The sequence below is a fragment of the Homo sapiens genome, chromosome 13 (genome assembly GCF_000001405.40).
Source record: "Homo sapiens chromosome 13, GRCh38.p14 Primary Assembly".
NCBI lineage: Eukaryota > Metazoa > Chordata > Mammalia > Primates > Hominidae > Homo > Homo sapiens.
In genome coordinates, this window is record NC_000013.11 from 26172378 (window position 1) to 26188938 (window position 16561).

The window sequence follows — 16561 nt, forward strand, 5'->3', positions numbered from 1 at the left end:
AACATTGGTGACATCTTAACATCAGGATAAAGGAACAATTTCTTCAAAAATGGTGAAAAAACACAAACCATGAAGGAAAATACTAATTAATCTGACTTCATTAAAACTTCTGTGCATTAAAACAGCAAGATAAATTTTAAAAGCAAGCCACATACTTCTAGAATATATCTTTTTTTTTTTTTTTGAGATGGAATCTTGCTCTGTCGCCCAGGCTGGAGTGCAGTGGCGCGATCTGGGCCCACGGAAAGCTCTGCCTGCCGGGTTCACGCCATTGTCCTGCCTCAGCCTCCCGAGTAGCTGGCACTACAGGTGCCCGCCACCATGCCCGGCTAATTTTCTGTATTTTTAGTACAGATAAGGTTTCACTATGTTAGCCAGGATGGTCTCGATCTCCTGACCTCGTGATCCGCCCACCTCGGCCTCCCAAAGTGCTGGGATTACAGGCGTGAGCCACCGCACCCGGCCTAGAATATATCTTTACTGTATATAATGTATATAATGTGAAAATGGAGAAAGGTTTTCTACCCAGACTATGTAAAAAACTCCTAGAAATTACTAAAAAAAAATAGAAACATGAGCAAAATATATCAACAAAAGATATGAATGGGTAATTTAGAGAAGGAGAAAAGCCAGGTGGATCATAATTATATGAGAACATGCACAAACTCAGTGAAGCTCAAACTAAAAATTAAAGACGAGGACAATGCCAAAGATTGGCAAGACCACGGTGAGGTAGAAACCGGCAGAGTACACATAAGAGTATAAACGGATACAACCATTGTAGAGAGAGCAAGTTTAGGCTGTGCATGCCCCACAGTTCAGTACCTCCACTGTAAGCTATAGCTTTAAAAAACTCATACATGTATGCAAGAAGTTACGAACAAAGATATGCATTTCAGCCGTGCTTGTAACAGTGAAGAAGTGGGAAAACCTAAATATTCATCAACAGAGAAACAGTTAAATAAAACCCACATAAAATCATATAGTGAAATACTGTAGAGACATTAAAAGGAGTGACTATCAATAAATAGATAGAAAGACAGATCAATAGATCTCAAAAACCTAAGAGTGATGTGAAAATGATAGACATATGTACTCTATTGAGTCATTTTTGTAAATGTTTAAAAAGCCCTACAATTTCATATTTTGCTTATGGATAGATAGATATAAATAAAATTTCAGGCCTAAAAAACAGATGAAAATCATGCACAACACATTCATATTAGTACTTGCAGGGGTTGGGGGCAGAAGGAAGGAGCTGGACATAATAAAAGTGATTTTTGCTTTGCTTTATCTCCAGTGATTTATTTCTTTGGAAAAAAAAAAAGCATTTGGGAGGCCAAGGCAGGCAGATCACAAGGTCAGGAGATCGAGACCATCCTGGCCAACATGGTGAAACCCCGGCTCTACTAAAAATACAGAAATTAGCTGGATGTGGTGGTGTATGCCTGTAATCCTAGCTACTCGGGAGGCTGAGGCAGGAGAATCACTTGAACTGGGGAGTCAGAGGTTGCAGTGAGCCAGGATGGCGCCACTGTACTCCAGCCTGGCAACAGAGCGAGACTCCGTCTCAAAAAAAAAAAAAAAAGCAAAGAAAAAATTCTGAAAGCAAATATAACAAAATGTTAAAAGTTGTTTATTCTTAATGGTGAGAATATGAGTGTTTGTTGAATTCCATGTACACACTTACACACATCACATAGGCTCACTGCCATCCACCAGTGACAGTCCCAACTGCTAGAACACTTTTAAGCAGCAGGTAAATTACATATGAACTTCCTATTTCAATTTATTGTTTCTCTGGCCATTTAGGACTCAGGCCACTGATTTCATCCTCTCGGTGCCTGTCTCACAGGATTTCGAGGGCAAGAGTCTGGAATGAAAGAGGAGGACTGGCTAAGCAAGCCAGGACTTTTAGAATATGCTGGAGTTCGGTTATTGTAACTGTAGTGGGGCAGCTGCAATACGTAAAGGGACAGCAAACTGAAATAGGCTGGGCACGGTGGCTCACACCTGTAATCCCAGCACTTTGGGAGGCCAAAGCAGGTGGATCACTTGAGGTCAGGAGTTCGAGACCAGCCTGGCCAACATGGTGCAACCCCATCTCTACTAAAAATACAAAAAAAAAATTAGCTGAGCGTGGTGGCAGGTGCCTGTAATCCCAGCTACTCAGAGGCCCAGAGGCTGAGGCAGGAGAATCACTTGAATCCGGGAGGCGGAGACTCAAAAAAAAGAAAACAAACCCCAAAATATTGAAACAAAGTTACTCACCCCCTTAGGCTGGGGAGACCACTTTTGACTAGAAAACTGTCTTTTAAGGCTAATATCCTGAATGTTGCCACTCGGCACAAACGGTCCCAATCCCAGATTGCAGCCCCTGGAATGAGAGGACCTCCCCAGCCCGCCTTGTAAAATCCTGGCAGTTGAGGGCTCCATGCTGTCCCTCCCCTCCACACCGTGCTTCTGGGACAGGCTGCCAGGCTTGCCGTCCCTACACTCACTCACTCACCAGTCAGAGTGGATTGGGGCCCACTCTAACGGCCTCGGTTGAACTTAATCACCTCTTTAAAGGCCCTATTTCCAGAGTCACTGGGGGTTAGTGGTTCACTGTATGAATTTGGAAGGGGACACAATCAGGTGCCTCTTGATGCCTCAGCAGTTGAGGAGTTCACTATTAACCAAGATGCTCCCCATTGGCGTCCGGTGCCTTTTTATTTTCTTGAGACAGAGTCTCGCTCTGTCACCCAGGCTGGAGTGCAATGGCGTGATCTCGGCTCACTGCAACCTCCACCTCCCAGGTTCAAGCAATTCTCTTGCCTCAGCCCCCCGAGTAGCTGGGACTACAGGTGCACACCACCATGCCTGGCTAATTTTTGTAGATTTAGTAGAGACGGGGTTTGGCCATGTTGGCCAGGCTGGTCTCAAACTCCTGGCCTCATGTGATCTGCCTGCCTCGGGCCCCCAAAGTGCTGGGATTACAGGCGTGAGCCACTGCACCCAGCCTCAGGTGATTTTTGAGAGGACACCTGACGCGAAGAGTAAGAAACTTTCCTCTCCAGCCCCCATGACCCCAGGCACACTCACCATCTCCTTGTCTCCTCTCAGATGACCTACTGGGTACCTGCAGGATAGCCTTAGTGCTCACCTGATTGCACTTCCTAAGGTAAAGCTTGTCCTACCTGTCTTTGGCGTCCTGGTTACCATCGCAGTTCCCCAAACACTAAGCAATTGATTGCAGAGGCACCGTGGTGCAGGCCAAGAGCTGCCTGAAAGTGATGAAAACCTGGGAGTGGGGGAAAACCAGGACAGGGATCCAAGAGGGAGTGAGAGAGTAACAGGAAATAATCTACCTTCCCCTCAGCTTCCTAGTGACCTCCTCCTACGCAAGTGTGCACTTCCAAGTCATAGCAAGATGCAAGACAATTTCCGATTTGAAAATGCACATGGAAAACAACAGAAATGCCTGATTTTTTTATGATTCTTTCACATTTATTTGGAATTCATAATTCTTAAAATGTAGTATCAGTATGTTTGACCAAAAAAACAAGCAGGGGGTGGAGGAGATTGGAACACAGCACTCTCACATTCCAGGGAAAGCCAGGAGTGAACTTGCTCTGGTGCTACCTCAGGACACAGAGTTGTCCACATCAACTCTTTACAAGTAAATCTTGTAGAAAGCTCTAAGAGGAGTTAAATCTGCTAAATAGGCCATGGTGGTTGTCTAAGGCGTGAGGCCTGATGTGAACTAATGAAGAGGAATGAAGGAGGACAGAGGGGTTGGCTGGTAAACTCTCTGAACTGAAATTCGCCCTTCCTAGTCAAAACTGGCCATTGTTATGTCAGGGAATTTGTCTTCAGTCTTCTCTAACTGTACTTTTCCTTTTGCTTTAAGCATACTCTTCCCAGTCTCTTCTCTTTTTTTTAGAGAGAGAGACAGGGTCTTGCTCTGTCACCCAGGCTGGAGTGCAATGGCACAATCATAGCTCACTGTATCCTTGAACTCCTGAGCTCAAGCGATCCTCCCACCTCGACCTTCCAAAGTCATTGGATTACAGGCATGAGCCACTCCACCCAGCTCCCAGTCTCGTCTTTAAAGACTTTTTGGGGGATTGAATTGTGTCCTTCAAAAAGATATGTTGACATCCTGACCCCTAGTACCTGTGAATGTGACTTTATTTGAAAATAGGGTCTCTGCCAATGTATTCAAGTCGAGATGTTTAGGGTTGGCCCTAATCTAATAAGAATGGTGTCCTTAAAAGAAGAGGAAAATGCAGGCTGGGCACAGTGGCTCACGCCTGTCATCCCAGCACTTTGGGAGGCCGAGGCAGGTGGAACACCTGAGGTCAGGAGTTCAAGACCAGCCTGAGCAGGATGGTGAAACCTGTGAATCTACTAAAAATACAAAAATTAGCCAAGTGTGATGGCACATGCCTGTAATCCCAGCTACTCAGGAGGCTGAGGCAGGAGAATCACTTGAACCCAGGAGGCAGTGGTTGCAGTGAGCCGAGGTGGCGCGATTGCACTCCAGCCTGGGAGACAGAGTGAGACTCGGTCTCAAAAAAACAAACTAACATACAAACAAAAGAATATGCCAGGTGAAGACAGAGACACAAAGTGGAGAATGCCAAATGATGACAGCAACAGATATTAGACTGATGGGTCTACAAGCCAAGAAGGAAAGATCGGCGGGGACCACCAGAGCTAGGAAAAGGCAAGGTAGGTTTCTGTCCAGAGTCTCAGAGGGAGAATGAACCTCTGACACCTTAATCTTGAACTTCTAGTTTCAGACCTGTGAGAGAACACATCTATGATGGTTTAAGCCAGCAGTTTGTGGAAGCCCTAGGAAAGTGAGAGAAAGACAAACCTCCTGGAAGCAGTGTCTATACCAGCGACTCTACTTCATTGACTCCCATTCACTCCTCAACTCAGTAGAAACTGGCTGCCACAACTCCATAGAGACCACTTTGCCAAGGTCACCAATATCCTGGTTGTCAACAGATCTAGTGGATTCTTCATAGACTCTCTCGTTACCTCCTGGCAGCATCCTCTTCCTCTGCCCTTCTCTAACATGTCACTGTCCATCAGTCAGAGTTCTGTCTTGGTTTCTTTCTCTTCTAATGTTAAGCACTCAGTGGGAGAGCCTATCTATAATTCAACACACAGGTGATAACCATAACCATGAGAGTGGCCCTGACAGTATATGCCCAAAACCCAACTCACCCAAACCTCTTCCACCTTACATTTCCTGTATCTCAAGAAAAGGCTTCACAACCTATCCTCTTGTTCTAGCCAGAAACCTAAGTACCACCCTTCAGCTTACCCTCCACATCCAATTGATAAACGATTTCCTCCTAAATATTTTCCTATCTACCATCTCTGCCAAAAGGCTACGGCAAGCCACTAGCTTGCATTTCTCAGCTGCATTGGTGCAAGAGCCTCCCAGCTCTAGCTATGCCCTACTCCACCATGTTATTTCTTTCTAAAACACAAATATGATGTGTCACTCTGCTTAAAAACACTACTGTCAACTGGGTGCAGTGGCTCATGTCTGTAATCCCAGCACTTTGGGAGGCCAAGGTGGGCAAACCACCTGAGGTCAGGAGTTTGAGACCAGCCTGGCCAACATGGTGAAACCCCATCTCTACTAAAAATACAAAAAAATTTAGCCAGGCATGGTGGCAGGCACCTGTAATCCCAGCTACTCAGGAGGCTGAGGTGGGAGAATCGCTTGAACCTGGGAGGCAGAGGTTGCAGTGAGACAAGATCACACCACTGCACTCCAGCCTGGGCAACAGAGAGAGACTCCACCTCAAAAAATAAAATTAAATAAAATCCCTTAATTGAGTAGCTAATATGCAACAGAAATTTGTTTCTCACAGTTCTGAAGGCTAAGAAGCCCATCAAGATCCCAGCAGTCAGTGTCTTGGGAGGGCTTACTTTCTTGTTCAGAGATGGTGCCTTCTCACTGTGTCCTCATGTGGTGAAACGGGAGAGGGGTCTCTCTGGGGCCTCTTTTATGAGGGCATTAGTCCCATTCATGAGGGCTCTATCCCCATGACCTAAACACCTCCCAAAGGCCCCACGTCCTAATACCATCATCTGGGGGATTAGCATTTCAACATGTGAATGTGGGCGGGGGTGGGGGAGGGCACCCAAAAACATTCAGACCATTTTCTTTTCTTCCCCCTTGGCGGACCAGGTGTCTGCCTGGTCCGTGTGTGTGTGTGTGTGTGTGTGTGTGTGTGTGTGTGTGTGTGTGTGTGTGGTGAGAAAGCTTAAGATCTATCCTCAGCAGATTTCAACTATATAATATTGTATTGTTAACTACAGTCATCAGATGTATATTAGATCTCCAGAATTTATTCATTTGCATAACCAAAACTTGGACCCCTTGACCAATATCTCCCCATTTTCCCCTCCCCTGAGCACCTGGCAGCCAGCATTCTACTGTCTGCTTCTATGAGTTTTGACTATTTTAGATCCCACATATAAGTGAGATCATGCAGTGTTTGTTTTTCTGTGTCTGACTTATTTCACTTAGTATAATGTCCTCCAGATTCATCCATGTTGTCGCAAAGGACAAGCTTACCTTCTTTGTTAAGACTAAATAATATTTCATTGTATATATTGTTAAGCAGAAATGCTGTGCACTGGTGTTAATTCCTAGGAGAAGAACACTGTGCACCAGTTATCAATCCCAGAGGAGGACTCTAAACACCTTGCCAGTTTCTGCTAAAGTTCCTAGTCTGGCAGGAGGTTTTGCACAAACCCAGCTGCCAGAGTTCTGTAAGGGTTCTTGACTCTGGCAGGGGCTCAGAGCAGATCTAGCTGCCATAGCAGTCATACCTGTACAATTTGCATTCTTAGATCTAGTCGACGAGACAGACACTCGCATAACAAGTCAGGCAAAGAAAATGTATTACCCACAGATAGACAGCAAGAATCAACAGAAGCCTAGAATCCATGGCAAGCCAGTCTCCCAAGGATCAGGAGAGCTGCATGGAGTGAATGGAGTCTCATCTGCCTGTACCTCACTTCACACTGTAGCTGAGAGACCCCAAAAGCACTCCACTCTGGGTTCTGTATCCCAGGGGCATTTGGGATCACTGAGTACAAGCATTGCAGGACCTCCTGTTCTGGGAGGGACAAGGACAAAGCCCAGGCTATTCTGAACAGTTCCTTCTTATCTCACGGCTCTGCATTCTCAGCACATTCTATTCTTATGAGAACTGTAAGTGGGAAGGAGAAGTGCTATGTCTGCCAAGACCATTCAGGGTCCTGTCCTCCTGCAATGCATTCCCCCAAACCAGGTACCCCCTTAGCAAGGCCAGTCCACCTCACACACCCAGCGACCTCCTTGGATCCAGAGGCAGAGGTTTGTCTCTTAAGATAGATGTATAGATGTAGCACGTTGACTGACACGATCTCAGGGCAACATCATTGAACTTTCACCAGAATACACTTCACTAGGCCCAGGAGGACGACTACCACAAGCAGGACATCCAGGCTGGCCTGAAGCAGAGTCTAGTCCAGGATCCCAGCAGTCAAGGCAAGAAGTTGCTAAAGAATCAAAGAAGGATCCTCAGGTGGCTCTGCTGTCTGCAGCCAGCGACCCTGCTTCTGGGCCTCTTCCGCTTGTGTCCCTATAAGCCTGAGGTGTTTATCCAGGTACAGCAGGAGCCATTGGCAGTAACCCAAATGACACCCTGTTCTACCCCCAGATAATCAAGGGCTATATCCAGTTATCCATCGCCATCTTGGCTAGTGAGCCCAGTGACCCTGTTGGCCCCAAATAGCTCCAGCTGTAGTGTGAGCTATCTCTACCACAATCAAAGACAGTCATGTACTATTCTTTTTTCCAGAGCATGTACACCTATGCTGGGTATGAGGACATGGTCAGCAGAGTGGAACCAGCTGTCTGTTTGTCTTCCTACTAGGGTGTCTCAAGCAACCCTGCAACATGTCAAGAGTGTGGGGCCTTTCCAGTTTAGAGGGTCACCTTTCACAAACAGTTGAAAACCCAAAATTCCAAAACAGCAGGCCCCATTTGAGGGTGACAGGTACTCTGCAGCCCAGGAGACCCCTCAAAGGAACATATAACCCAGGGAACCACATGTCACTCTGGTCAGAGAGCAGTTGATATAAAAGTCTCTGATCCCATTGTACACAGCCTGTGACTGGTTTAGCCATGAGTTAAGTAGCAGGATAAATTTGCAGAATCTGTGGACCTTGCCATACCATTGCTGATGTTTAAAGTCTGTCTCTGACTTTATGTCCGTATTCCAGACAACCCACATTTAAGGTGTCTTTCCCTGATTAGAACCATTGATGGCTATTGGGACGTCCATCAGATTGGCAATAGGCCACACATGGACTATTGGCATTTGGGAGGAAATGCTCCAAATATCTGGGTGGCAGATCCTGCAAAGCGTCCAGTCACCACCTGCTGCCACTGCTGTGCCAATATTCACCAATGTGTTGTCAGTCCAGGGCCCACTGGGTATTCTAAAGGAACCCGAAGGGGAGAGGCTAGTTTCCCCAACCCTTGCCTGCTTCCTGCACTTCCTGTAGTCGGAGATGTTCTTGTCTATCACTTGGGGTGCTGGCTGTCCAGGTATTGTAACCCAGTCTGTTTGTCCAGTCCTGAGGTTACTACCTCTGCAGCTCCTGCTGCCCTGCTTCTTAACCTAGACCTTCCTCCATCAGCCTTCCAGTCTAGGAAGGGGGGTCACATCCTGTACTTGACAAGGCACCGGACTAGATCCAGGTACTCCTTGGTTCCATTCCCCGCCCCTGTGCACCCAGGAAAAGCAGCACCAGGGAAAGCATGGCTTCCAGATTAGAGTCGGGGGCTCTGCCTGGGGTACTACAATGGCCTGAACTGCAGAGCACCTCCAGGATGTGCACTCTAAAGGAAGAAAGGAAAAAGAATGGTTGGGAACACCAAGATTGGGATGCCATAGGCAGGCAGAGGCCGATCAGGCGTCTGTCTTGTCCTTGAAGAATCTAGTCACTCAGTTGGCATTCTCCTGACCAAATGCCTAGGCTGTTGGCAACAGCCTGTGAAACCGTGAAAATGTAGCAAGAGGTGATGTCAGGGGTGGCCTGCACAGCCATAACCACTGCAGGTAGTGTAACCCATTGGGTGGAAATGTCCACGTCCAGTCTCAGTCAAAAGATGGTCAACCCAGTGGACTCTGCCTGCATTCAGTTTCAGAGCTGTCAGTAAACCAAGCTATACCATTGGTAGGTATGTCTCTGTATCTTGGACCCCTGCCCACAGAAGGAGGGGAGGTCAAGACCAAGGGGATTCCTCTTGGCATCAAGCAGTGGTTAGAGTGATGCAGATAAAATGCTCCAATGCTTTTCTATGCAACCATCTTCAGTTTTTGTGCTCCAGTGGGATGCTACAGGTTCTTAATTATACTCTGGAGCACTCTCAGAACTATTTTCCTTGGTAGATAAATTGCCGTTTTTGCAGGACAAGAGCTGGTGCCTCCTCATCCACCATCTTGCTGAAGTCATTTCTCTTCAATTCTCAATCACATCTTTTGAGTTGTTTTTATTTCTTGACCCAGGATCTAATCAAGGATCAAACAGCTAGCCTTCTTTAATCTGGAACAAATAGTTCCTCCATATTTCTAAAAAAATCTTCATGACATTGACCTTTTTTAAGGCTTATTTTATAAAACTCTTCTGATAATTTAATTGAAAACACGTATCTCCAGAAGTTTTCAAAAATGCTTTAAGCAGGTGTGGAGAGAGGACACACAAAATACTTTAATGATTAACAAATTATCACACTTACAATAAAACATTATTACATAAAGCAAATAGCATGGATTGAAATGTGGTGTTTCACGATCATTCTCATGTCTATTTTTATTCTTATTTCTAGACATTTTTGAAGAGTTCAGACCCATCGATTTAAAGAATGTCCCTTATTTAGGTTTGTCTCTTTGCTTCCTCAAATTAAATTTGGCAAAAATGTTACATAGGACAGAATGCCCTCCTCAATGAATCACATCAGGGGTTATAAAATATCAGTGTGTCATTTTATTGATGATAAATTGATCATCTAATTAAAATAGTGTTTTCCAAATTTCTTCATTGTAAATGGTATTTTTCCATTTGTAATTAACAAAGAATCTGTGGCTGGGCATGCGGGCTTATGCCTGTAATCCCAGCACTTTGGGAGACAGAGGTGGGCCGATTGCTTCAGCCCAGGAGTTCAAGACCAGCCTGAGCAACAGAGAGAAACCACATTGCTACAAAAAATTAGCTGGGCATGGTGGCACACACCTGTAGTCCCAGCTACTCAGGAGGCTAAGGTAGGAGGATTGCTTGAGCCTGGGAGATCAAGGCCACAATGAGCCATGATCATGCCACTGCAGGCCAATTTGGGTAACAGAGTGAGACCCTGTCTCAAGAAAAAAAAGAAAATCTGTTATTTTCAGAAATTCTGATTACCATACACAACTTGGTATCCCACAGAACCTATTAACAGATTTGAAAAAAGAATTTCTTTGGTGACCTTGAGTAGCCAAATGGCTGGGAACATTGAGTTAGCATGCGGGCTTTGAGGTAAGAATTCTGGGAGATTTGTACCCTTTGGATACTGTGGCTGGATTTTATGCTGCTGCATAATTTTCTTTCCTGACATTTGTTTTTGAGCCAAGTACAGCCTTTCCCCCAGTTTAGCCTCTGCTGAAAGGCACTTTAAAATGTGTTTGAACACTGAACTATTCAAGTCAAAAAGACATGCTGTTCTATAGAAATCTGTTATATGCTTTTGCTCTAAAAGTATTTGAGGCTTAAAAATCAGCAAAACTACAATAGTATCATTCAGTTTGCTTTCAAATGGGAAAAACTTGTAAAACTTGACACACGAGAACAGATTCACTAATTGTTTTCCCTTTATAGAGTATTGACCATGACATTACAGAGAAATACAATAAATTGTGAAGGAAGCCTCACAATTTAGAAGCGCCAATGTGAGGAGCTCAAAATCAATGAGACATGTAAAGCAATTCTACTTTTTCTTCCTTCCTTTCTTTCCCCACTCTGCCTAGACACTTTGGGCATCTGTGTATATTTGCTGGTAGGTGTTTTATTTGTGAGATAGGATGGGGATCAGGACTCTAATTCACTTATGATCATTTGCCTCCCTGCGTATATCCATAGTAGATTGTGAGCAACTTGAAGGTAGGAGCAGCTTAAACAGATTCTGAAACATATTACTTTTTGCAGAAGTGAAACTGAGAAGGTAAAATGGAATGTTAGCCATGCAGTAAAAAATAGTTTTGGACTAATACAGAATAGCAACTGAATTATTTATATATACAATTCGCAGCTTAGCAAACAATTTCATGGTTAACTGCATTCTGTGCTATACTTTTCACTCATATTCTCACAGAAAGTATAGATTACTTTGCTTGAAAATTCATAAAAAATCTACAATATATTCCTCGAATTATTTATATATTTTTATATATATAAAATATAGGTTTTTTTATACTTATTTATATATGTAATATATACAATATTTATTTTTTTATAATTATTCATATATATACATACTGGTGGAGCTGCCCTCCACCAGCAGATAAATAAAATATATATATATATATATATATATATATTTTTTTTTTTTTTTTTTTTTTTTTTGAGACAGAGTCTCGCTCTGTTGCTCAGGCTGGAGTGCAGTGACACGATCTCGGCTCACTGCAAGCTCCGTCTCCTTAGGTTCACGCCATTCTCCTGCCTCAGCCTCCCGAGTAGCTGGGGCTACAGGTGCCCGCCACCCACCACGCCAGGCTAATGTTTTGTATTTTTAGCAGAGACGGGGTTCCACCCTGTTAGCCAGGATGGTCTCGATCTCCTGACCTCGTGATTCGCCCGTCTCGGCCTCCCAAAGTGCTGGGATTACGGGCGTGAGCCACCGCGCCCGGCCGCCTCAAATTATATTCTAATCAGTCTCCCTCAGTTTAGCCTCTGCATAAAGGCACTTTAAAAGTCTTCGAACACTGAACTCTCAAGTGAAAAAGACATGTTGTTGTATAAAAATCTGTTTTATGCTTTTTGCTCTAGAAGTCTCTAAGGCTTAAAAATCAGCAGGGCATATTCTGCTATCAAAACTACAACAGTATAATTTAGTTGTCTTCAAAGTAAAAAGATTTGTAAGACTTGACATATGAGAACAGATTATCTAATTGTTTCCCCTTTATTGAGTATTGGCCATGATGTTACAGAGACGAACATTCAGTTTTGAGTCACTTCTACTCGCAGATGTTTCAACGTTTCCTGGTCCATAATGACTGCACAATACGAGTATCTCTGCCTTTTAAAGCTGTTCTGGCTTAAAACAATGCCTCACCTTACATTTTCTATGAGTGAAAATAACGTAGATTGAATGCTAAGCATACACACTGTGCAGGCCACAAAGGATAAATCTGTGGACTCCTGCAGAAGGCAGGCGATCCAAAGCAAATGTCCTTAGCTGCCCTCCACCAGTAGAGGGCAGCCCTCTCCCTACAAACTGTCTACCTAGTGAGCTCCAAAGTGCGCTGCAGGAAATTATTTTAGAACTTGTAGGTATTGTTATCATTTTATTGATTGATTGATTGATTGACTATTAAGACAGGATTTCACTCAGCCACCCCAAGCTGTAGTGAAGTGGCACAAACACGGTTCATTGCAGCCTCAACTTCCCAGGATCAAGCCATTCTCCCACCTCAGCCTCCCAAGCAGCTGGGACAACAGGCGCACACCACCATGCCCGGCTAATTTTTTCAAATTATTTTTTGTACAGATGGGATCTCACTATGCTGCCCACGCTGGTCTCGAACTAATGGGCTCAAGCTATCTGACCGCCTCGGCCTCCAAAAGTGCTGGAGTTACAGGCATGAGCCATCATCCCCGACCAAGGTATTATTTTTATTTTAGCTTTTTAAAATTTCTATTTGGTGTGCTCTTTGTAATAATACATAAATATATATATGAGCATGCATTACATTTTTATAACTTATAAATAAATACATATACATATACATTTGAAGTGCATTTTTTTTAAAAAAAGTTGTTACTTGGCTGGGCACAGTGGCTCACGCCTGTAATCCCAGCACTTTGGGAGGCCGAGGTGGGCGGATCACGAGGTCAAGAGATCGAGACTATCCTGGCCAACATGGTGAAACCCCGTCTCTACTAAAAATACAAAAAATTAGCCTGGCGTGGTGGCAGGCGCCTGTTATCACAGCTACTTGGGAGGCTGAGGCAGGAGAATCGCTTGAACCCGGGAGGCGGAGGTTGCAGTGAGCCGAGATCGTGCCACTGCACTCCAGCCTGGGCAAAACGAGCGAAACCCTGTCTCAAAAAAAAGTTGTTACTTAAAGTAATGCATTGTCAACAGAAGTGTAGAGGCCATGATTCTAAACTTGTGTTCTCTACGCCTAACTACGAACCTTGTGCCTTTCCAAAACCAAAGGTCACACTTCTGGAAAGTTCCTTCCTCCCTCACATTCAATATCTATTTAGAGAACACACACTATGTCCTAGCTTCTGCTAGGTTCTGAAAATACAGTAAGAGGCAAAAGAGCCATAGCCCCTCCCACCCCGTGCCCTTATGAAACTTGCAGTCTACATAAACATAGATATGAAACAAACACAAAATGTATGTTTTAACCCTAAAATGCGATAGGGAAGCCAGTCAGACGATTTACTCGGGAGTAAGAATTCAGGTCATTCACCAAGGCGCCCATGTCAAAGCTTCATCACCCGCCTCGCGGCCCTAAAACGTGTCAGAGTCATGATACACACAACGCAGAGGAAAAGTTCAAAAACAGATCTTAAAAAGAGAAGTGAAAGCAAGCGATCAAAACATTTCTGGAAATCTGACACATCTGGAGTGCCGTGTGGAGACGCCAGGGCGCGTGGAGCTTTGAGCAGTTAAAAACCCAGACCGGGAGGCCAGTGCGTGTGTAAGACCGCGTTTCTCTGCAAGGCTGTCCCGCGGCAGGAACGCGCTCGTTGGGCCGCAGAGCAAGAGCGGGACGCGCCGGGGGGCGTCTGCGTGGCACGTGGGCCCCGCAGCCAGTCGCGCTACCGACTGGCAGTCAGCGGAGACGCTTCGGAGCAGGTCTGTTAGGGCGCGCGCACACACATGCACGTGCACGAGCGCACGTACACGCGCACACCGCCAGCGCGGACCCTGACGGGGCCGAGCCTCGGAATTGGGCCTCCTCGGCCGCCGTCGTCTTCTCAGCTCTCACAGGGCCCGCAGCGGCGCTATACCTTCGGCCACAGGTAGCGCGTTCCTTCGCTGTGCTGACCGTCGATCCCGGGGGCGCTAGAGCGCCGGCTCCGGGGAGGGCAGGGAAGCGTCAGGGACCTTTCTTCTTCTTTTTTTTTTTTTCTTTTTTTGAGACGGAGTCTCGTTCTGTCGCCCAGGCTGGAGTGTAGTGGCGCGATCTCGGCTCACTGCAATTTCCGCCTCCCAGGTTCACGCCATTCTCCTGCCTCAGCCTCCCGAGTAGCTGGGACTACAGGCGCCCGCCACCACGCCCGGCTAATTTTGTGTATTTTTAGTAGAGACGGGGTTTCACCGTGTTAGCCAGGATGGTCTCGATCTCCTGACTTCGTGATCCACCCACCTCGGCCTCCCAAAGTGCTGAGATTACAGGCATGAGCCACCGCGCCCGGCAAGCGTCAGGGACCTTTCTAGAGCCTTGCTTGGCCTGAGGTCCGGGACTGGGGCTGTCCCCGCTTCCTGTTTCTGCCATCAGTGGGGCCACAGGCCTGAAGACGGCTTGTACCGCCACCTTGGGCGCCTCTGCTCCTGGCTGCGACGTGGGGCGTCCTAGCCTTCGGACCGGGAACCTGATAGGAGACGAATAGAAAGGGGGAAAGCCCTGGAAAATTAAGCCGGCACAAGAAGGGGGAAACGTTTGGAGGTCAGGCAAGGCTGATGGCCTTGGGGATCGCGGAGCAGGAGGCTTACTGGGATGTCCAGTGTGAGAATGTCAGCCCGTGAGCTCTGGTGTGCAAGAAAAATGCCTCTTTTCTGGATTTCAGGTGAATTTCTGACTCCTCTGGGCTACATACGACCACCCTTCCCTGGCCCCCTCTGGTGAACTGGTTATAAAAGAAAAATTACCCTAGTTCTTCCTGCGGTCCCCTCCCCAGGGATTAGGCCAAGTTCTGGAAGCTTATTGGGTGACTTAGTGGGTATGTTAATGGTTAAGTAACGTACCCAAGGTCTTATTGCCAATCAGTGGCAAAGTCAGGATTCAAATGCAGATCTCTTGGACTCCAGAGGCTGGAGTTTATTAAATGTTTAGCCCCAGCTCTATTTGATTTTGGGGGTTTTTTAAGACAGTCTCTATCTGTTGCCCAGGATGGAGTGCAGTGGTGCAATCTTAGCTCACTGCAGCCTTGAACTGTTGGGCTTAAGCAGTCCTCCTGCCTCAGCCTCCCAACTAGCTGGGACTACAGGCGTGTGCCACCACACCTGGTTCCTAGCTCTATTTGAGACCACAGTGGCCTGAAGTGTAAAGCACACTGGACACTAGGTGTCAAAAAATAGAACTAGAAGTCAACAAGTGATCTAAAACAAGATTCTGTAGGTGTCTGGGCATCAGTTTCATCATCTGGGTGAAATGGACTTGAACCTGTTAATATCCAAGGTCCCTTCAGCCCTAATAGTCTAGGAATTCTAGAGAGTGTAACTGCTCATTTGCAGGCTGCCATCCAGACCATCACAACTGTCTTGTGGCTCATGGAGACTTTCAGATTGATGCAGTGGCTCCAAGGCGAAGTGACCTCAATTGCTGATGCAAAACTAGATTCTATAAGTGTAAACTGGTGGTTCACAAGGACAGGTGAGAAGTGCTGATGGTGGCAAGGGAGGCAATTATAACAATATCCCTCCCCTTCTACCCCATCCTCCACCCCACTTGTGACAGACATAGACAAGGACTTAATTGTGGCACAGAGGAAGGGCAACTGACTCTTGAGACCAGTGAATCTGTAGTCAAAACGCACTGATCACTGTTGAATAACTACTGGAATTATCAAGAGTCTGGCTGAATTTACATTTTACTTTCCAAAACAAATATAACCAAAAATTCCAGTCACTGCATAAGCCAGAAGCAGGTGACACACAGAAGTGAAGACTGAGGGGAGTTTAGGTGAAAGCTGCAGCTGTTCTCTCCCTTTTAGTGGGGGCTTTAGTTGGACAAGTCAAAAGAGCTTTTTTTTTTTTTTTTTTTTTTTTTTTTTTGAGATGAAGTCTCACTCTGTTGCCAGGCTGGAGTGGCATGATCTCGGCTCACTGCAACCTCTGCCTCTTCAGTTCAAGCACTTATCCTGCCTCAGCCTCCCAAGTAGCTGGGACTACAGGCACATGCCACCATGCCCGGTTAATTTTTGTATTTTTAGTAGAGATGAGGTTTCAACATGTTGGCCAGGATGGTCTCAATCTCTTGACCTCGTGATCTGCCCACCTTGGCCTCCCAAAGTGATGGGATTACAAGCATGAGCCACTGCGCCCGGCTCAGAACAGATT

General features: G+C 45.8%; 1 protein-coding gene across 5 annotated transcripts in view, besides 2 other annotated features; it reads right to left on the reverse strand.

Annotated features, from left to right (window-relative positions):
* Positions 1–16561, reverse strand: part of RNF6 (ring finger protein 6) — a 90971-nt gene that overhangs the window by 40263 nt on the left and 34147 nt on the right. The window lies entirely within an intron of this gene.
* Positions 13768–13937: an enhancer, noted in NCBI's record as "active region_7490". NCBI's record gives its function as "activates an Ori minimal core promoter by ATAC-STARR-seq in GM12878 lymphoblastoid cells {active_cell/tissue: GM12878}" and the evidence as "EXISTENCE:reporter gene assay evidence [ECO:0000049][PMID:35858748]".
* Positions 13988–14037: an enhancer, noted in NCBI's record as "active region_7491". NCBI's record gives its function as "activates an Ori minimal core promoter by ATAC-STARR-seq in GM12878 lymphoblastoid cells {active_cell/tissue: GM12878}" and the evidence as "EXISTENCE:reporter gene assay evidence [ECO:0000049][PMID:35858748]".